Genomic DNA, 21831 nt, shown 5'->3' on the forward strand with positions numbered 1-21831 from the left:
CTCTGTTGCCTTTTAAAGGTTTTATAGTTTTGCATTTCATATTTAAGTCCTAGAATGGATTTTTTGGTATATAGTATGAGGCAGGGATGCAATTTTGCTTTTTTCTATTTTATTTATTTGTTTATTTATTTATTTGCATTTATTTATTTTTGAGATGAAGTCCTGTTCTATTGCCCAGGCTGGAGTGCAATGGTGGGATCCCGGCTCACTGCAACCTTTGCCTCCTGGGTTCAAGCGATTCTCTTGCCTCAGCCTCTGGAGTGGCTGGGATTACAGGCTCACACCACCATGCCCAGTTAATTTTTTTGTATTTTTAGTAGAGACAGGGTTTCGCCATGTTGGCCAGGCTGGTCTTGAACTCTTGAACTCAGGTGATCCGCCCACCTTGGCCTCCCAAAGTGCTGGGATTACAGGTGTGAGTCACTGAGCTGGCCACTCTTTTCTATTTAATTAACCAAGTGTCTCAGCACCATTTATTAAATAGTCCAGGCTTTACCCAATATCTGAAATGCCCACTGAGTCATAAATCAAGTCTCCATATATACATGGATATTGTTCTAGGTTCTCTGTTCTGGTCCATTGATCTATGTGTCCATCCCTTTCCAATACCACATCATTTTTATTACTACAGTCTCAATGGTAAGTTAAATCATGGTATCTGGTAGGGTAGGTTCCCCTCAATTTACTCTTTTTCATAAGTGCCTTGACATTCTTGGACAGTTGCTCTTCTATATACATTTTTGAAATAGCTTTTCAAGTCTCTTAAAAATGCCTGTTGGGGCTGGGCGCTGTGGCTCACGCCTGTAATCCCAGCACTTTGGGAGGCCGAGGCGGGCGGATCACAAGGTCAGGAGATCGAGACCATCCTGGCTAACACGGTGAAACCCCATCTCTACTAATAATAAAAAAAAAATAGCCAGGCGTGGTGGCAGGGGCCTGTAGTCCCAGCTACTCAGGAGGCTGAGGCAGGAGAATGGCGTGAACCCGGGAGGTGGAGCTTGCAGTGAGCCAAGATCGCGCCACTGCACTCCAGCCTGGGCACAGAGCGAGACTCCATCTCAAAAAAAAAAAAAAAAGCCTGTTGGGATTTTTACAGGTGTTGCGTTAAAGGCAATTGACAGTTATGATATTGAATCTTTTTACCTAAGAACATTGCATTTCTCTTCATTTATTTAGGGCTTTCCCCGCCACCCACCCCCCACCACCCCCGAACCAAGATCTCACTCTGTCACCCAAGCTGGAGTATGGTGGAATGATCATACTCACTGCAGCCTTGAACTCCTGGGTTCAAGTGATCCTCCTCCGTCAACCTCCCAAGTAGCTGGGACTATAGGTACATGTCACCACATCTGGCTAATTGAAAAAAAAAAAAATTTATAGAGATAGGATCTTGCTGTGTTGCCCAGGCTGGTCTCAAACTCCTCAGTGATCCTCCCACTTTTAAAAGTAGCATTTAGAGCTTGATCATTTTTCCATAAAGAGTTCTGGGTGTTTGACCCCTCTAAGCCTCATGTTGAAATTTGATTCTCGATGTTGGAGGTAGGGGCTAATGGGAGGTGTTTGTGTCATGGGGGCAGGTTCCTCATGACTAGATTAATGCCCTCCTTGAGGTGTGGCTGGGGAGTGAATGAGTTCTCACTCATTCACTCTCACTCATTAGTTTCCTCAAGAGCTGGTTGTTAAAAAGAGCCTGGCATCCCCCTCCCCTCTCACACTCTTGCTTCCTCTTTCGACATACGAACTCTGCACACACCAGCTCCTCTTCAACTTCCACCGTAAGTGGAAGCAGTCTGAAGCCCTTACCAGATGCAGATGCCCAATCTTGAACTTTCCAGTCATGAGAATCATGAGCCAAATAAGCCTTTTTTTTAATATATAAATTACCCAGCCCTGGGTATTCCTTTATAGGAATACAAAATGGACTAAGACAGTTTTGTGTATCTTTTATAGATTTATTCCCAAGTCCTTTTTTTTTTTTGAGACAGAGTCTCACTCTGTCACCTAGGCTGGAGTGCAGTGGTACAATCTCAGTTCACTACAACCCCTGCCTCCCAGGTTCATGAAATTCTTGTGCCTCATCCTCCTGAGTAGCTGGGACTACATGTGTACGCCACCATGCCCAGCTGATTTTTTGTATTTTAGTAGTGACAGGGTTTCACCATGTTGGGCTGGTCTCGAACTCCTGAGCTCAGGCAATCCATCCAATTTGGCCTTCCTAAGTACGAGGATTACAGGTGTGAGCCACCGTGCCTGGCCTCTAAGTACTTTTTAAAAAATGGAAATTTATTTTCTCACTGTCTTAAAGGCTGAAAGTCCAAGAACAATATGCCAGGAGGGTTGATTTCTTCTGAGGCTTTCTTCTTGGCTTTCAGATGTCCACCTTATCTCTGTGTCATTATGTAGACTTTTCTCTGTGTGTGGGAATCCTTGGTGTTCATTCCTAGGTGCTTAAAAATGTTTTGGTGCCTATTAGAAATGGGCATCTTTATAAGAAATTTACATTTTGCAACTGATTGTTGCTGATGTATAGAAATTCTATAGAAATGCAAATGATTCTTGTATCCAGCAATCTTGCAGACCTCTCTTATTAATTCAAACGCTGTATCTGCATATTATTTTGGGGTTTCTATGTAGCTAATCCTTCCTCCGCAAATAATGACAGTTTTATTCCACTCATCCTTTCTTGAATGTCTGGAATGTTTAATGAGGCATTGTTCATCCTGCAGGTCCAGTAAGAAAACATTAAGAAACACTGAGTTCAAAATGACAATCTACTCACTTTATATAAATTCATTTTAGTGTTTAAAAAGTCCTAATCCAAATATGTAGCATAAAATGCAAAAATACGTTGGAACAACAGATCTGAACCCATGTTTATGAGATACATAGAATTCCAAGGAGAATTAGGAAACCAACCCCTTGACTTATGTCCTGAGATCCTGAGATGGTATGAGGAGATTCCTCACTATATATGGCAGGTTTTTGGCTACATGGGGTTGCGGGTGATACTTGCTGACAGAATGACTACCTAGTGACTTCCTCTCCCTTCTTCAAGGATGGTGGAAGATAGACATGGGCTTTAGAATCAAACAGCTCACTCTGCATGACCCTGAGCAAGTGAGTGAACCCATCTGAGCCATAGTTTCTTCATCCGCAAAATGGTGATGACAAGCAGACCTATCTTGGAGGGCTTAGGAGAAGATTGAATGTGTTAATGTGTGTAAAGCGTGTAAGGCAGCCTGGTTCCGGCTAAATGTTCCATTAATATTGGAAACCAAGATTTCTCCCAAGTCACAGACCCTTAAATCTGGGCAGGTCCCTGAGTCCTGTGACTCCACAATTCTTCAGCACAGGGATGAGAAATCCTTCAGTCCGGTGGTTTCAAAAAATTATTCAGCAAGAGAAGTTTCTTAAAAAAAAAAATAGGTAATTAAACCCCAATATATATATATATATAAACCCTAGCCATGATATATGCCGTCTCCAATGATATGGGTATGGAGGATCAGGAGCCCATCTCCCCAGCCCCCCTGTGCCTGCCTTCCATGGTGGCTGGTCGCTGGGGCCCCTCTAATGCACACTCTTCCTTCACAGGGTGCCGATTCAGTCCACCTCTTTATATGAGGCTACTTGGGCTGCCATAAGAAAATACCATAGACTATGTGGTTTAAACAACAGAAATTTATTCTCTCACAGTTCTGGAGGTTAGAAGTCCAAGATCAAGGTGCTGGCCAGGTTGGTTTCTGGTGGGGCCTCTCTTCTTGGCTTGCGGATGGTCACCTTCTTGCTGTTTCCTCACATGGCTTCTTCTCTGTGCACACACCAAGACAGAGAGTCTCTGGTGTCTCTTCTTCTTCTTATAAGGACACCAGTCCTATCTGATTAAAACCATAGCCTATGACCTCATTTAACCCCTCCTGCCTCCTTTTGGGTCCTATCTCCATAAATACAGTCACATTGGGGGTTAGGGCTTCAGCATATGAATTGTGTTTGGGGAAACACAATTTAGTTCATAACACCATCCCATTTTCCAGGTGGAGGATCTGAGGCTCCAATAAGGTGGTGATTCTTCCCAGCACACTTTGAAAATGAGGGACTGAGGCTAGACCAGTTCTGACACAAGCACAGTTGCCCTGATCTCCGGTGGCTGAGTGAGGTCCAGAGCTTGGCAGGGCCTCATTCTCCTGGCCTCTGCTCAGAACCCAGCACTCCACTGGTACCCTGAGAATGGGCAGGAAGCTCCAGGAGCATGTGTGGGAAGCACTGCTGGCATGGACATTGGCATGCACACCGGGTGTTTTTCTAAGGGTCTTTATGGGCTGGAGCACATGGTGGCTGTGGTCTGTGTGCACATAGACCTATAACCCTCATGGCAGGTGAGGGGCACTGAGGTTCTGCTGTGAAAGGCTGAAGAGTCTCAAGGGAGTAGACCTTTGGGGTCACTGCAGCAGCAGCTCACAGTGATCAAGTGCTTACTGATTGTCAGCAGAGTGCTAAGTGCTTTATAAACCTCTGTCATTGGCCAGGCACGGTGGCTCACGCCTGTAATCCCAGCACTTTGGGAGGCCGAGGCGGGTGGTTCACGAGGTCAGGAGATCAAGACTATCCTGGCCAACATGGTGAAACCCTGTCTCTATTAAAAATACAAAAATTAGCTGGGCGTGGTGGTACGCGCCTGTAATCCGAGCTACTCGGGAGGCTAAGACAGGAGAATTGCTTGAACCAGGAAGTCGGAGGTTGTAGTGAACTGAGATCACATCACTGCACTCCAGCCTGGGCGACAGAGCAAGACTCCGTCTCAAAAAAAAAAAAAACAAAAAAAAAACAAAACACCTCTGTCATTGGCCCCTCATGACCATCTTTTGAGGACCTTTGATTATCAGAGAGCTCAGGTCACCTCCCAATGCGACACAGCTCAAAAGTGGTGGAGACCATTCATGGGCCCAGGTCTGTTTGACTCTACAAGGTCACACCCTTAGCACTGTACTCTACTTCCTGGGTTGTCCGCAACCCCTTCCTTTAAGCTCCTTTCTTCTCCAAACCTAGAAAACAGCCCTTGGTGATGCTGCAGGGCTGGGCTGGGCTGGGCTTCTTCTCACGCTTGGTCAGACTTGGATGTTTCTTGTCTCCTGGTGGAAAAATAGGGAAGGGAAATGTATGTTGTTGATCTCCAAGCCCCTCCAGGAGCCAAATAGATCAAAAGAGGTTGGAGGTGGGAGGTGGAATGTCCCAGGCTGTCTTCTCCCAGGTTGAGGAGCGGAAGCCATGACAACTAAGGGGATTTGTGGAAATTCCTCATGCATTGTTACCAGGCAAAGGAAGTGGTTTAGTGTTGAGCTCTCAATTTCTACCCTGGGGAGCCACCACCAGTTTCCGCTTCTGAAACTTGTTTGTGGGAAACTGAAGGGGCTGTTTCAGGTCTTGAGTGTGGGGGGCTCCAGATAACGCCACGTCCCTCCTTTCCAGAGGGGAAAGGGGCAGAAGGGCCCAGCAAGCCAGACAAAACACCCCCAGAATCTGCTCTTTTTCCTTCCACTCTGAGGCTGGTGGCTCAGAGCCGAGGCAAATGAACAGAAACATTTTATCCAGGCCTGCTGGTATTTGTTTCTGGCACGATCAGCACAAGCAGATTAGAGAAATAAGTTGCATTTTTTCATCTGTTTGCTGTTTGGACTGGACCTTGGCACGCTGGATCTGTGTGGTTCTCTACAGCCTCCAGTCCATTCTGGAGGGATGGCTGGGCCTGAGTCCCTGGCATGGCTGTCCATACTCTGCCAGATAGTGAGTCACTTCCCAGGCTCTCGGGAAGGTGGTAATTAGCTCACCAGGAAAGATACACAGGCACCCATACATGCGTCTACATATGGAGACACCACTTAACGTACTTACACCTGCGTATCCTTACATGCGCCAAACGGCTGCATGTTTCCTTCTCATTGCTCTCCTGGGGTGCCTCTGGCTCTCCTTTCTGATGCAGGAGCACTCTGTGGGAGCCCCCCAGAAAACACCAGAGGAAGGGGAAGCTGGCTTTTCTGAGGCCAGTAAGGGTCTCCCATGGAAACTCTGGCTGGGAGGCAGACACGGAAGACCCTACCAGGCTGCGCCACCCAGTCCCTGCCAGAAAACTCTTGCCCAGAAAATCACCTTTGAGGCCAGGCGTGGTGGCTCACTCCTGTAATCCCAGCACTTTGGGAGGCTGAGGCAGGCGGATCACAAGTTCAGGAGTTCAAGATCAGCCTGGCCAAGATGGTGAAACCCTGTCTCTACTAAAAATACAAAAATTAGTTGGGCATGTGCCTGTAATCCCAGCTACCTGGGAGGCTGAGGCAGGAGAATCATTTGAACCTGCAGTGAGCTGAGACTGCACCGCTGCACTCCAGCCTGGGCGACAGAGCGAGACTCCGTCTTTAAAAAAAAAGAAAAAGAAAAGAAAATCACCTTTGAGGTGTGACAGAAATCTGGCAGGGGAAGAAGGGACACGTAGGCCCACAAAGTCTTTCTCAGCCCCCACACTCTGCCTGGCTAGAAAGCCAGGGTGTATCAGCTTGGCTTAACAAACCAAGTAGGAGTTACCAGCCTGTGAAAGAACTTTTACAAGATGAATGAACTGGGCAGGAAATGCCCAGTTGCCTGCCTTTCTCCCTCCTTCCTTCCATCTTTTCTTCCTTAATTTTTTTCGGGGGTGGGTGTGGGGTGGTGGACAGAGTCTCACTCTGTTGCCCAGGCTGGAGTGTAGTGGCGCAATCTCAGGTCACTGCAACTTCCACCTCTCTGGTTCAAGAGATTCTCCTGTCTCAACTTCCCGAATAGCTGGGAATACAGGCGTGTGCCACCATGCCCAGCTAATTTTTGTATTTTTAATAGAGATAGGGTTTTGCCACGTTGACCAGGCTGGTCTCAAACTTCTGACCTCAAGTGATCAGCTCGCTTCGGCCTCCCGAAGTACTGGATTACAGGCGTGAGCCACCGCGCCAGGCCTCTTCCTTGCTTTTTAAATTTTCTCTTCTTTCTCTTTCCCCTCTTTTCTCCCCTCCTTTCTGAAATTTCTTCCTCTTCCCTCCCTTCCTACCTTCTCCTTTCCTTTCCTTTCTCTGTCCTTCCCCTGCTTTCCTTCTGTCTCTTAATTCTATCCTGGAAAGAGATCTCCAAGCATCCCTCTCCTTTAATCTTTCAGGGCACATACTCCCCGACTTATGATGGTTGAACTTATGATTTTTTTTAGTTTACGGTGACGCAGAAGTGTCACGCATTCAGTAGAAACTGTACTTCGAGTACCCATACAACCATTCTGTTTTTCACTTTCAGTACAGTAGTCAATAAGTTGCATGAGGTATTCAACACTTTGTTATAAAATAGGCTTTGTGTGAGATGATTTCACCCAACTGTAGGCTAATGTAAGTGTTCTGAGCACTGTAAGTGTTGAAGGTAGGCTAGGCTAAGCTATGATATTTGGTAAGGTTGGTGTGTTAAATGGGTTTTCCACTTACGACATTTTCAACTTACAGTGGGTTTATCGGCAGATAACTGCATTGTAAATCAAGAAGCACCTGTATATCCAGCTCAGTATAAGCACTGAGGTTGGAGGATTTAACAAGCCACAGCTCAAGGATTACAAAGGATCTTTCCCCTTCACAAACTCCACCTCTGGGTGAGATTTCAAGATGGCCAGAGTTGAACCTGTCATATCTCAACCCCAAACGCTTTCCTTCTTCTCCAAGACTGAGGAGCAGGGTCTTTGTGGAGCCTACGCAGCAGGCTAAGGATGCGAACACCTAAGAGAAATGGAATTTGGGGTCATAAGTCAAGTAGCATATTCTATGTGGAAGAATTATTTCAGAGTTAACAGAGAATTTTTTTTTGGTTTGGTTTTAAAGTGGTTTACATCTATAAGACTTCTGGGAAAGGGACAGATTCCCAACGTGTAAAATATGAAATTTTCAAAGTCAACATTCCTAATGCCCAAATACACTTTAGGACTATGAAAACTTCATGTACAATGATATGTTGTTATGAACTAAATCGTACTGAACAGTTAGTTGTAAGAGGGCATTTCATGTTTTATTTTTATTTCCATGCGCGGTTTATTTTTGCTCTGACATTTTGTTATAATTTCTTCCTACAGTAGGTGAAGTGCTTGGGAAGTTAATTTAAACCAGCCTGACTCTCTGTGTGTTTTTTAATATTTGTTTAAGCTTTTATTGAGCTTGTCAGGCAAGTCAGTGTGCAAAAATGCAGCCGAAAACCCCTTTTCCCTTCTGCGGTGCCTGCCCATTAATACTAGGTGGTGACAACAAGATTCGCGCACACTTCAAATGGGGGATTATTCTGGGTTTTCAAGGAAATTTGAGCCACCTGTTTCAGAAACCTCTTAGTGACTTAGCAAGATGATGAAGGGTGTCTCCCCACTCAGCCGTCACTCAGAGTTCCGCCTCCTCTGGCTCCTTCAGACTCGGCCGGGCCCTGCAGGGGCAATTTGCAGCCCTGGTTGGACGCCTGAGCTCCAAGTTGTCCTCCCAGCTTGTGGCTTGGCCTCAGCCTGGGCCAGAGAAACAGCTGCCATCTCTCTGCCTGTGGGGAACTTTCCAGATCCACAGCAGGCTGGCTTTCCCCTGGGTTTGGGCTGCCCAGTCTGGAGCTGTTTATCATGGACAGCAGAACGACATGGGATCACCTTTGAGGAAGTGAGTTGTGAGAGCCAATTGTGCGGCCTACGTGTCGGGGAGCCACGCTGCCCACAAAATTTGGCCAAGGAGGGAAACAGAAAGTCAACATTTTCCAGCAGACTGGGAAGGCGGCTGGGTATTTCTGGAGCCCAGGACTCTCTGGTAAAATGGTCCTTGTGGTGGTGAGAGGCAAAAAAAGGTGGTAGTGGCGGGGGGGGGGGGGGCACAATCAGATCTCTACTCAGCTCAGGAAAGGCCTCTTAACACAAGCAAGAGGTTTCCCTGGCACACAATCCCAGTGCTCCACACTGACCAGGAATCTCACCAAACCTAACCCCAGGAGCAGACTAGAACCAGGGTGCCATGGCTGGAAGGAGCCTTAGCGATGATTTAGACCAGGGGCCCTCCAAGTGTGGGCTTGGGTCCTCTGCATCAGCAAGTCCTGGGAACTTGTTAGAAATGCAGATTCTCAGGCCCCAACCCAGACCTGCTGGGCCAGAAACTCCAGGGGTAGGAACCAGCAGCATGTGTTGTCACAAGCCCTCCAAGTGCTGGTGCTGCAGGGCACAGTTTGATCATCACTGGGAAGGCTCTAAGCTTTCAATCAGTGGGGAAACTGAGGCCTGGGGTGAGGTGGGAGGAAGGAAAGTAACGCATTCATCACCGGTTTGTTTGTGGCGGAACCAGAACAAGTTCTGCCAGGCTAGGTTTCCTCCTGCCCCTTCTTCTCCTGCCAGTTTAGAGAGGAGAAGGCTCTAATGTCTGAAATCCCACCAATTGATGGCAGTTGATCTGGCTCTTCTCTCCCTCTGCTGACCTTATACCCATCTGCAAACTTCAGGAGGACTCTGTACCACCTCTCATAGTGGGCATGTTGATAATTCAGACTTTCACTTTTCAGTCAATGTTGTGAATAAGCAAGCTAGAAGAATGACCTTTGATTTTGATAAATGACCAGGTCTTTCACAAGTTGAGTTAGCTAAGTGTTCCTGCCCTGCTGCACTCCCTTCTAAATGAGGGCTCTATGCCTGCCACCCCTGCTAAGTGGACAACACCTTCTGCTCCATGGGACAATGCTCCATGGTCACTGATATTGATGGCAGGGGGACAGAGCCCTGACTGAGAGGAGGGGGCAGCCACAGGCTAGCTAAGAATCTCCAAGGCCCATAGACTTGAAAAGATGATCTGGGCCAATCAAATTCCTCCCCTGGGAGTTTAGAATTGGGAAACTCAGAGGCTGGGGCCATTAGCAATGGAAACCAAAGCTGAAAGGCCATTTGGGGAATTGCATGATGTAGATGGGGCCTGGGTAGTCCTGAGGAGCTTGGTGCAAGCTGAGGACAGACAAAGTAAGTGGAGGAAGGTTGGCAGTGGAAAAAGAGCAGAGAAGAAAGAGAGAGAAACAGAAATCCCACAAGGAAAACCTGTGGGATTTAGCTTTCTTGAGGCCTGATTTTTCTTTTTCTTTTTTTTTCCAGATGGAGTTTCGCTCTTGTTGCCCAGGCTGGAGTGCAATGGCACGATCTCGGCTCACTGCAACCTCCACCTCCTAGGTTCAAGCAATTCTCCTGCCTCAGCCTCCTGAGTAGCTAGAATTACAGGCATGTGCCACCATGCCCGGCTAATTTTATATTTTTTATTTATTTTATTTTATTTATTTATTTATTTTGAGATGGAGTCTCACTCTGTCACCCAGGCTGGAGTGCAGTGGCTCGATCTCGGCTCACTGCAAGCTCCGCCTCCTGGATTCAAGCAATTCTCCTGCCTCAACCTCCCAAGTAGCTGGGACTACAGGCGCCCGCCACCACATCCGGCTAATTTTTCGCATTTTTAGTAGAGACGAGGTTTCACTGTGTTAGCCAGGATGGTCTCGATCTCCTGACTTTGTGATCCGCCTGCCTTGGGCTCCCAAAGTGCTGGGATTACAGGCATGAGCCACCGCGTTGGCCGAATTTTGTATTTTTAGTAGAGTCGGGGTTTCACCATATTGGTCAGGCTGGTCTCGAACTCCTGACCTCAGGTGATTCACCCACCTCAGCCTCTGAAAGTGCTGGGATTACAGGCGTGAGCCACCACGCCTGGCCAAGGCCTGATTTTTCTGTAGCTCATGCCCTTGGCATCTAGCACATTTCCTGTTACGTTCTGACCACAAACAGAGCTAACCTGGGTGGGCCTCTGTTCCTAGCAACCCAAGGTACTACATCAGGGCTTGGCAACATTTTCTATAAAAGGGCAGATAGTAAACATATTAGACTTGCCAGCTGCGTGGTCTCTGTTGACACTACTCAATGCCACCTTCCTAAGGCAAAAGCAACCATAGACAATATGGCAATAAATGGGTATGGCTGTGTTCCAATAAAACTTTATTCTCAAAAATAGGTGACTTTGCTTGTCCCCTTCAAGCAGAAAAATAAATAAGTTAAAAAAAAAAAACCCACAGGTGACCATCTCACTGGCCAAGGTTTGCTGACTCCTGTGCTGGATTAAAATCTAAGTGTGGCCGGGCGCGGTGGCTCACGCCTGTAATCCTAGCACTTTGGGAGGCCAAGGAAGGCAGATTGCCTGAGCTCAGGAGTTGGAAACCAGCCTGGGCAACACGGTGAAACCCTGTCTCTACTAAAAATACAAAAAAATTAGCTGGGCATGGCAGCATGTGCCTCTAGTCCCAGCTACTTGGGAGGCTGAGGCAGGAGAACTGCTTGAACCTGGGAGGCAGAGGTTGCAGTGAGCCGAGATCGCACCCCTGCACTCCACACTCCAGCCCGGGTGATGGAGTGAGACTCCATCTCCAAAAAAAAAAAAAAAAAAATTTAAGTGTGGCAGCCCGGGGTGTGGTGGTTCACGTCTGTAATCCCAACACTTTGGGAAGCCGAGGCGGGAGGATCACCTGAGGTCAGGAGTTTGAGACCAGGCAGGCCAACATAGTGAAACCCTGTCTCTACTAAAAATACAAAAAAAATTAGCCAGGCGTGGTGGCGCATGCCTGTAATTCTAGCTACTCAGGAGGCTGAGGCAGGAGAATTGCTTGAACCCAGGAGGCAGAGGTTGCAGTGAGCCGAAATCATGCCACTGTACTCCAGCCTGGGTGACAGAGCGAGACTCCATCTCAAAAAAACAAACAAACAAAAAACAAACAAAAAAAACCTTAAGTGTGGCAAAGACTACCTCCTTTCCATCCCCATCCACTTAAGTCTAGTCCAGGTCTCATGTGACTGTGGAATTTTTTTTTTTTTTTTTTTAGACAGAGTTTCACTCTTGTTGCCTAGGCTGGAGTGCAATGGCATGATCTTGGCTTACTGCAACCTCTGCCTCCCGGGTTCAAGTGATTCTCTAGTCTCAGCCTCCCAAGTAGCTGGGATTACAGGCGTGCACCACCACACCTGGCGGATTTTTTGTAGTTTTAGTACAGATGGGGTTTCATCATGTTGGCCAGGCTGGTCTCGAACTCCTGACCTCAGGTGATCCAACCACCTTGGCCTCCCTCCCAAAGTGCTGGGATGACAGGTGTGAGCCACCACACCCAGCCTAGATCTTAATCTTAAGGCTGAGTGGAGTATGGGCCATACATTCCCTCTGTATCCTCTCTTCTCTTAGTACTCTGCCACTTCTCAGGCTGGCCAGCTACCTCTGGAGTTATGGTAAAAACTCCAAACCCAAAAGTTTATAAGAACCAGGATTATCCAGTCAACAAACTAACATACACACAAAGTATCTGCAAAGCGAGAACATCCTCTAAGCTCAGCTTTAATGAACTATGTGAAATTTTACAAACAGGAAATCTGGAAGGAAACCTTATAATTTTGACATATGAAAAATCAAATAAAATACTTAAGTTACATTTAGATAATGATGAATGTAAAATAGGGTTGACAACAGAGAGTGGTGGAGACTGTGGTAAACTGGTAAGATTCTGCCCTGTCTAAAGTCAGTGCTAGCCAGTACTTAGCTTTGGTTCATTGTACCCTTTGGGGATGCAACCTGTCTGATGTCAGATTTTCCAATTCTTGGGTATCTGAATTTTTTAAAAAGTAAAACCTCTTTGTTTTTTAATATTAGCAACTAATTTAAATTTGGGGAACATTTGGTTTTGTTTTTTTTGAGATGGTGTCTCGCTCTGTCACCCAGGCTGGAGTACAATGGCATGATCTTGGTTCACTACAACCTCCACTTCCCGGGTTCAAGCAATTCTTCCTGCCTCAGGCTCCCGAGTAGCTAGGATTACAGGCAGCCGCCACCACACCCAACTAATTTTTGTATTTTTACTAGAGACGGGGTTTTGCCATGTTGGCCAGGCTGGTCTTGAACTCCTGACCTCAGGTGATCCGGCCCCCTTGGCCTCCCAAAGTGCTGGGATTACTGGCATGAGCCACCGGGCCCAGGCTGGTTTTTTTGAAAAACGTCCACAAGTCAGATTCAACCCATGAGACTCTCAGAGCCAATTCACCCTTTTGTCTTTATCCACATTGGAGTGAGCTTCCTTTGGCATATTTACCTCACTCCTCGGAGAAGGAAGGCCCTGCAGTTATCTCCGAATTCTTGAGAAGGAAACTGAGTCCAGAAAGAGTGGGTACCTTGCCTATCACTCACTGGGTCAGGACCAGAGCCGAGCGGCAGCCACGCCGACTCCAGGTTTCCACTTGAGGGAGGCCTGCCCTGTGTTTGAAGCTTCGGCTGGTCTTCCCAGCATTTCTCTCCACTCACTCGCGCTCCCACATCTGGGCTGTGCTCACAGTGGTATCCGCCTGTGGTTGCTGCAGTTGGCAGGAAGGGCTCTGAGAAACCAAAAGACTTGGGTATATTTAATAAGTCAGAATATGAGCTGGAGTTTAATCCTGTGACACAAACAACTCTCAGCTGGCCCCTCCAGCACGTGTTGGGAAATGGACCTTTCTCTGGTCCTCATACAGAGTCCCTCCAACGTGAATCACAGGTTGTTTATTCAAATTAAGGAATATATTTTCTTCCTGAGGGCATGGTAGGAAGAAATATGCTATTTGCAAAACAAGAGTTACAAGCAAGACTTCAGGAAGAGAGAGATTAAAAAACAGGGACACGGCTTCTGGAAGTGTTTGTGGGTGTTCTTTTTCTAGAGGCTCTCAGGGATGCACTAGCTCAGGGCAGCTGGTTGGGGAGTGGGGGACAGGGCTGCATCCTTTGAGGATCCCTTCCAGAAAATGTCAGCCTTGGGTAAAGATGGAAGCCAAGTCCAGATGGTTTGAATGTAGCTGCTCCTCTGAGAATATGTTTCTGGCTATATTCCTGAGCCAAATGAAAGTGGTTTTTGGATTATCCAGTGTTTTATTTTAATTCAAGCCTCATCTTCCATTAGTCCAAGCCAACCCATCGTTACCAGCATTTGTTCTGTAATTGTGAGTCATCAATCTATTTCTCTATGGCCAATGGGAGTAGTGGTGGTGTTTGGTGTCAAATAGTTGGAGTTCTAATCCGAACTACCATTATTAGCCATGTCATTCTGGCAAATTACTTAATCTCCTTGTGCCTCAGTTTTTCCATGTGTAGAATGAGAACAATCATAGTATCTACTTCATTAGGTTCTTGTGAGATTAAAATGAGAAATGTATTCATTTATTCCTAAGTATTCACTTAACACCTGCTTTTAAGTGCTGGCAATAGAGAACTAGACAGGCAGTGCTCCTGCTCTTGAAATGTGAACATTCTCCAGTGTGCTCAGCAAATAATAGGTACTATTATTGTTGTTGTGCTGTTGCTATTGGTGTTCTTACCACCCAACTCATGGGGAGGGAGAGAGATCTAATCCTAACCTGTGGCTCAGTTTTTCTGAATATGCATGGTCTGAAAGATTCGGCCTGGCACAGTGGCTCTTGCTTGTAATCCCAGCACTTTGGGAGGCCGAGGTGGAGGCATCACTTGAGTTTAGGAGTTCAAGACCAGCCTGGGTAACATGGAGAGATCCCATCTCTACAAAAATATAAAACAATTAGCCAGGCATCGTGGTGTGTGCCTGTGTTCCCAGCTACTTGGGAGGCTGAGGTGGGAGGATCACTTGCGCCCAGGGAGTCAAGGCTTCAGTGAGCTATGACCAAACCACCATACTCCAGGCTGGGTGACAGGGCAAGATCCTGTCAAAAAATAAAAAAATAAATAAAATAAAATCCATCCTTTACTGTGTAATAACCATTCTCAGGCCAGGTGTGGTGGCTCACCCCTGTAATCCCAGCACTTTGGGAGGCCGAGGAGGGTGGATCACCTGAGGTGAGGAGTTCAAGACCAGCCTGACCAACATGGTGAAACCCCACCTCTATTAAAAAATACAAAAATTAGCTGGGCATGGTGGTGGGTGCCTGTAATCCCAGCTACTCAGGAGGCTGAGGCAGGAGAATCGCTTGAACCCAGGAGGTGGAGGTTGCAGTGAGCCGAGATTGTGCCATTGCACTCCAGCCTGGGTGACAGAGCAAGACTCCATCTCAAAAATAACAATAATAAAATTAAATAAAAAATAGCCATTCTCAGAGCCTGCTTGGTGTCAGAAACAAGCTCCCAGAGTACCTGGACATATAAAATATGCCCACAAATTATTTGATGCTCTTCCCTTCAAGTAGCAATTCCCCTCCCTTTGAATGTGAGCTGGACTTAGTAACTCACTTCTAACAAACAGGATGTGGCCAAAATGATGAAGTGTGTGACATCCAAGCTCAGATCATAACAGACCTTTCAGCTACCTCCTTGCTCTCTCTCTGGGCTCACTCTTCCTGGGGGAAGCTGACTGCCATGTTGTGAGGACACTCAAGCAGCACTATGGAGAGGCTCACACGGCAAGGAACTTAGGCCTCCTTGCCAGCCAGCAAGGAACTGAGGTCTCTTCATAATGACCATGTGAGTGAGACGACTTGGAAGAGCAACCTTCACACCCAGTCAAACTTTCAGATGATGGTAGCCCCAGCCAGCATTTAGACTGCAACCTCATGCGAGACAGTCAGAACCACACAGTTTTAGCTGTTTTTGGATTCCTGACCCACAGAAACTGTGAGAGAATAAATGTTTGTTGTTTAAGCTACTAAGTTGTGAGGTAATTTGTTGCACAGCAATAGGTAACTAATACAGTGTCTTTCCCTAGAACAGACCTTGGAGGAAGATCCTCTCTAAATACTGGGGTGAAATTCTGTAGAGTATATTTATATATCAAAATCTCAGAGGAGTCTATCTTAATATAAGAAGAAAACAATAAGATGGTAGAAGTTGGAAGGTCTATAGTGTAGCCATAGTTCTCCTAATTTCACTGATATAAAAATCACCACTCTCGGCTGGGCCCAGTGGCTCACGCCTGTAATCCCAGCACTTTGGGAGGCTGAGGCAGGCAGATCACAAGGTCAAGAGATTGAGACCATCCTGGCTAACATGGTGAAACCCTGTCTCTACTAAAAAATACAAAAATTAGCTGGGCATGGTGGCACGTGCCTGTAGTCCCAGCTACTCAGGAGGCTGAGGCAGGAGAATCGCTTGAACCGGAGAGGCAGAGGTTGCAGTGAGTCAAGATCACGCCACTGCACTCCAGCCTGGAGACAGAGCGAGACTCCATCTCAAAAAACAAACAAACAAAGAACTACCACTCTCATTGCAAAAGCAATGCTACAGAATTTAGGCAGCATGATAAATCATTACTAATTATATATCCCTGAGCAGTCCTGCATGAACTGGAGGTATAGAGGAAAGGTTTCAGAAGATGGTGCCCAGTGCAATTTAGCTTCGCACTGATCCATTCACTTGGTGATAATGCCATCACAGCCAACTAATGTCCTCCTAAACGAGAAATGTGCCTCCATAGTTGGCAGGGAAATACTTTTCCAGAGATGGGGGAAGAAAGATGCTGCAAGAGGGTAATCAGCATTAAAGTGACTCAGCTTTCTTCTCCAGTAGGGCAATATTCACCAGCCTCTGCCTTCTCTGAGGTCCTGTCTTTCCACCTCTGCCATCTGGCCCTGAATAGGGCTACTCTCAAGTATATATCTCTTCCTGGAACATGAGATTTTTATTTCCTCCTTTTGTCCCTTACTGCCCACCTGTGATGGTTAACTTCCTCTGTTAACTTGACTGGGCACAGGGTATCCAGATATTTGGCCAAACATTCTCCTGGATGTGTCTGTAAGGGTCACTCTGGATGAGATTTAGATTTGAATTGGTAGACTGAGTAATGCAGATTGCCCTCTCTAAGGCGGGTGGGTCTCATTCAATCAGCTGAAGACCTGGATAGAACAAAAAGAAACTGAATAAGAGGGAACTCCTCCTGCCTGACTTCTTAAGCTGGGACGTTTGCTTGCCAGCTTTTGGACTGGAACTTACACTATCAACTCTCCTGGTTCTCAGGCCTCAGGACTCAGACTAGAACTATGCATTGGCTCTCCTGGGTCTCCAGATTACCAATTGCAGATCTTGGGACTTCTCAGCCTCCACAATCATGTGAGCCAATCCCACATATAATACATATATATATATATATTTGAGACAGAGTCTTGCTCTGTTGCTCAGGCTGGAGTGTAGTGGTATAAACTCAGCTCACTGCAGCCTCAACCTCCTGAGCTCAAGCAATCCTTTGGCCACAACCTCCCAAAGTGCTGAGATTACAGGTATGAGCTATGGTGCCTAGCCATGATAGATATATATATATATATATATATGCATGCACATACACACACATATAATACATGTGTGTATATATAAACACATATATATGTATATACACACACATCCTTACATACACACACATATATAATCTCCTATAGCTTCTGTTTCTCTGGAGAACCCTGACTAATGACCATCCACCCAACCCATCCACTTTTTTCCATCTTTGCAGTCACTTCCCTACTCTAATCCACTATAGCCCTTCACCTGCATGCCTGCATTAATCTTCTCATTGGTCTCTGCAGTGGGTTGAAATGTGCCCCTCAAAAGGATATGTCCAACTTTTAATCCCTGGTCCCCGTGGATGTCACCTTATTAGTTAAACAAGTCTTTACAGATGTAATTAAGGAATTTAAGATAAAATCATCCTGCATTAACCGAATGGGTCCTAAGACCAATGACAAGTGCCCTTACCAAAAGAGGAGAGAGCTAGGCACAGTGGCATGCGCCTAGAGTCCTAGCTACTCAGGAGGCTGAGGTGAGAGGATCACTTGAGCCCAGGAGGTTGAGGCTGCAGTGAGCTATGATTATATCACTGCATTCCAGCCTGGATGACAGAGCAAGACCTTGTCTCTAAAACAAATTAATAAATAAATAAAAAGAGAAGCATAGACGCACAGGGCAGAAGGCACAGAGAGAAGGCCACGTGAAGAAAGAGGCAGAGATTGGAGGGATGCCACAGACCAGGGAGGACCTGGGACCACTAGAAGCTGAAAGGGACAAGATTCTTCCCTGGAGCCTCCGGAGAGAGCGTGGCCCTGCTGCCATGTTAATTTCAGACTTCAGCCCTGTAGAGAGCTGAGAGAATAAATTTCTGTTGTTTTAAGCCACTCAGTTTATGCTAATTTGTTATGGCAGCCCTAGAAGACTAATACAGTCCCTTCCTTCCACTGTTTTTCATTTTTTATTTTATTATTCATACATAATAAATATATTTTGGTGGTTCATGCAATAATTTAATACATGTATATAATTTATAGAGATCAAATCAGTATAATTGGGATATCCATCACCTTCAGTATTTGTCTTTTCTTCATGCTAGAAACATTTGAATTATTCTCTTCTAGCTATTCTGAAATATACAATAGATTACCATTAACTATAGTCACCCTACTGATCTATCAAGTACTGGGTCTTATTTCTTCTATCAAACAGTGTATTTGTACTCATTAATCAACCTCTCTTCACTCCCTCCTCCCAACTTTACCTGCCTCTCATAACCACCAATTTGTCTTCATAAGATCCATTTTTTTAGCTTCCTTATATAAGTGAGAACATGCGATTTTTCTTTCTGCACTTGGCTTATTTCATTTAACATAATAACCTCCTGTTCCATCCACATTCTTGCAATTGACAGGTTTCATTTTTTTATGGCTGTATAGTATTGCATGGTATACGTGTACCACATTTTCTTTATCCATTCATGAACTGATGAGCTCGTAGGCTGATTCCATATTCTGGCTATTGTGACTAGTGCTGCAATAGACATGGGAGTGCAGATATCTCTTTGATGTATTGATTTCCTTTATTTTAGATAAACACCCAGTAGTGGGATTGCTGGATTATCTGGTAGTTTTATTTTTAGTTTTTTGAGTAACCTCCACACAGTTTTCAATAGTGGCCATACTAACTTACATTCCTACCAAAAGTGTATGAGGGTTCCCTTTCTCCACATCCTCACCAGCATCCACAATCACAAACCCTCCTTCAGCTCTTGGCCACTGTGATACATTCTCCACCCAGCAGCCAGGGTCATCTTTGAGAAATACAAATCTGATTTTAACTTCCGCTAAAAATGCTATCATGGTAAACTGCAAACCTTTTACCATAGTCTCCTAAGCCCAGCTAGATCCAGATGGGGACCTCTGGGCTCTGATGGCTCAGATACTGCCCTCTCTCTCCCTCAGCACACTCCTGTCCCCAGCCCTTCAGTCACTGCCTGGAACACACCAAGCTCTCCCCTGTCTCAGGGTCTTTGCTGCTGCTCCCTCCACCTCCAACTCTCTTCCTTCAGATCTTGTGGGACTGGTCCTTTGTCATCTTTCCAGTCTTTATTTTTTATTGAGACAAAGTCTCGTTCTGTTGCCCAGGCTGGAGTGCAGTGGCGTGATCTGGGCTCACTGCAACCTATGCCTCCCAGGTTCAAGCAATTCTCCTGCCTCAGCCTCCTAAGTAGCTAGGATTACAGGCATGCGCCACCACGCCTGGCAGATTTTTGTGTTTTTAGTAGAGACGGGGTTTCACCATGTTAGCCAGGCTGGTCTCCAACTCCTGCCCTCAGGTGATCCGCCCTCCTCTGCCTCCCAAAGTGCTGGGATTATAGGCATGAGCCACTGCGCCTGGCCTCCGGTCTCAATTTAAATATTACCATCACAGAGAAGGCCCTGCCCTATCCACAGTGCTCTCCCACTATACCCCATCCTAACTGCACTATCACCATGTTTATGCCCTTCCTACTCCTTGTCACTGTTTGAAATAAATGCATTTACTTGTTTACTTGTTTAGTCTGCTCCCCACCCCCACCGTGGAAGTAGGCACTGTGCTTGTTTCCCACCATATCCTCAACGTCTAGAACAATGCACAGAGTAGCTTTTGACAAATGATTGCAAATGTGTGCTTGCATGAATTCTTTCCACTCGCTCATTCATTCAATAATTGTGTATGAAGTACTTAATTGGGGCCAAGCATATATCACAGGCCAAGCTCAGTGACAAATGTCAGGTTTCCTTTTCTTTTAAACTTAAATTTTATGTATTTTTAAAATTAAGTAACACTTTCCCTGAAATAAAATTGAAAAGGTAAAATAGGTATTCGGTAGGAGCCTCTGTGCTAGTTATTAAGTTATTGTTTCTCAGCCCCAGCCCAGCCTTTTGTTCTCAGGTTTTGGGTGCTAGGGCTGGGGTTCTTTGCAAAGCACATTTCTGCTTTGTCAGCTGCTTCATGTTAGATTCTCCCAGTAACGGTGCCAGGGAGATGGTAAGGCCAGAGGAGGAAGAAGGGACTCGCTCCTTCCTGTCGGCTTCCCGTCTGCCTCCTCACCGTGAACATCACCCCAGCAGCGCTGCTTCACCCAGAAGCAGCAACTCCGTCCTGAAGCTGCAGTCGAATCCAGTTTGTAGTTTTTCTTTTTCTTTTTCTTTTCTTTTTTTTTTTTTTTTTTTTTGAGATGGAGTCTTGCTCTGTCACCCAGGCTGGAGTGCAGTGGCGCGATCTCAGCTCACTGCAACCTCCACCTCCAGGGTTCAAGTGATTCTCCTGCCTCAGCCTCCTGAGTAGCTGGGATTACAGGCACATGCCACCACGCCTGGCTAATTTTTGTATTTTTAGTAGAGAAGGGATTTCGCCATGTTGGCCAGGCTGGTCTCAAACTCCTGACCTCAAGTGATCCGCCCACCTCAACCTCTCAAAATGTTGGGATTACAGGCGTGAGCCACCGCGCCTGGCCATGTTTGTAGTTTTTCTACCATCAGCTTCATTGCCTCCTGCTCACAGACACCAGCAGTAGCCATTGGTGCCCTCCTCCTCAGGGGTCTCTGCCCCAGCACATGATAGGAGGGCCCCTCTCCAAACTTCTTAGTTTTAATAATTTTTTTTTCTTCTTAAGACAGAGTCTCACTCTGTCGCCAGGCGACAATGGCACGATCTCGGCTCACTGCAACCTCTGCCTCCTGGGTTCAAGCGATTCTTCTTCTGCCTCAGCCTCCTGAGTAGCTGGGACTACAGGCGCCCACCACCATGCCCAGCTAATTTTTGTATTTTTAGTAGAGATGGGGTTTCACCATGTTGGCCAAGATGGTCTTCAACTCCTGACCTCATGATCCATCTGCCTCGGCCTCCCAAAGTGCTGGAATTACAGGCATGAGCCACCGCGGCTGGCCCAGTTTTAATAATTTAATTCCAACTCTTCCTTTTGTTTTTCCAGCCCCAGGGCTGGCAGCTGCTTCCTGCAGTGGTTCTGTCTATACAAAGTTGATGCGTTCTCTTTTTACCTTTTCAGTTACCTGATTAGCAACTTTACATCACATTCACAATTCTTTATATTGAGTTCTCTCTGTTCAAATGACTGGTGTGGTTTCTGTTTCTGCGTAAATCTTGACTGATTCAGCCTCCCTTCCGCATCTGTCCCCACTTCTCTTCAAGGGCTACCAATGAACTCATTTCTTATGCATCCTCCAGAGATCAAATGTTAGTTTTTTTGAGTCAGTCTCATCAAATATAGATAAAATAGAAACTGTCAAACTTTGTCAATAATTCAAGCAATAACAACTAACTTTGTTGTTAGTACCAGGCTAAGTGCTGGGCTGTGGGGAAAGTACGACTTCATGTGGAAGATACTATTATTCACTCCATTTTGCAGATGAGGAAACTGAGGCATAGAGTGATTGATTACCTCACTCAAGGTCAGTGTCAGAGCCACCATATGAATCCATGCACATCAGTCCAGCATCCTCACACTTAACCACTTTGCAATATTGCCTGGACTGTGGTGTTATAGTTAAGAGCTTGGGCT

General features: G+C 46.1%; 2 annotated features.

The window, feature by feature from the left end:
- Positions 4921-5713: an enhancer, noted in NCBI's record as "H3K27ac hESC enhancer chr5:141625205-141625997 (GRCh37/hg19 assembly coordinates)". NCBI's record gives its function as "activates a minimal SCP1, AML or CMV promoter by ChIP-STARR-seq in primed H9 embryonic stem cells {active_cell/tissue: H9 hESC(primed)}" and the evidence as "EXISTENCE:reporter gene assay evidence [ECO:0000049][PMID:30033119]".
- Positions 5714-6505: an enhancer, noted in NCBI's record as "H3K27ac hESC enhancer chr5:141625998-141626789 (GRCh37/hg19 assembly coordinates)". NCBI's record gives its function as "activates a minimal SCP1, AML or CMV promoter by ChIP-STARR-seq in primed H9 embryonic stem cells {active_cell/tissue: H9 hESC(primed)}" and the evidence as "EXISTENCE:reporter gene assay evidence [ECO:0000049][PMID:30033119]".

Source organism: Homo sapiens, chromosome 5 (assembly GCF_000001405.40).
Source record: "Homo sapiens chromosome 5, GRCh38.p14 Primary Assembly".
Classification (NCBI taxonomy): domain Eukaryota; kingdom Metazoa; phylum Chordata; class Mammalia; order Primates; family Hominidae; genus Homo; species Homo sapiens.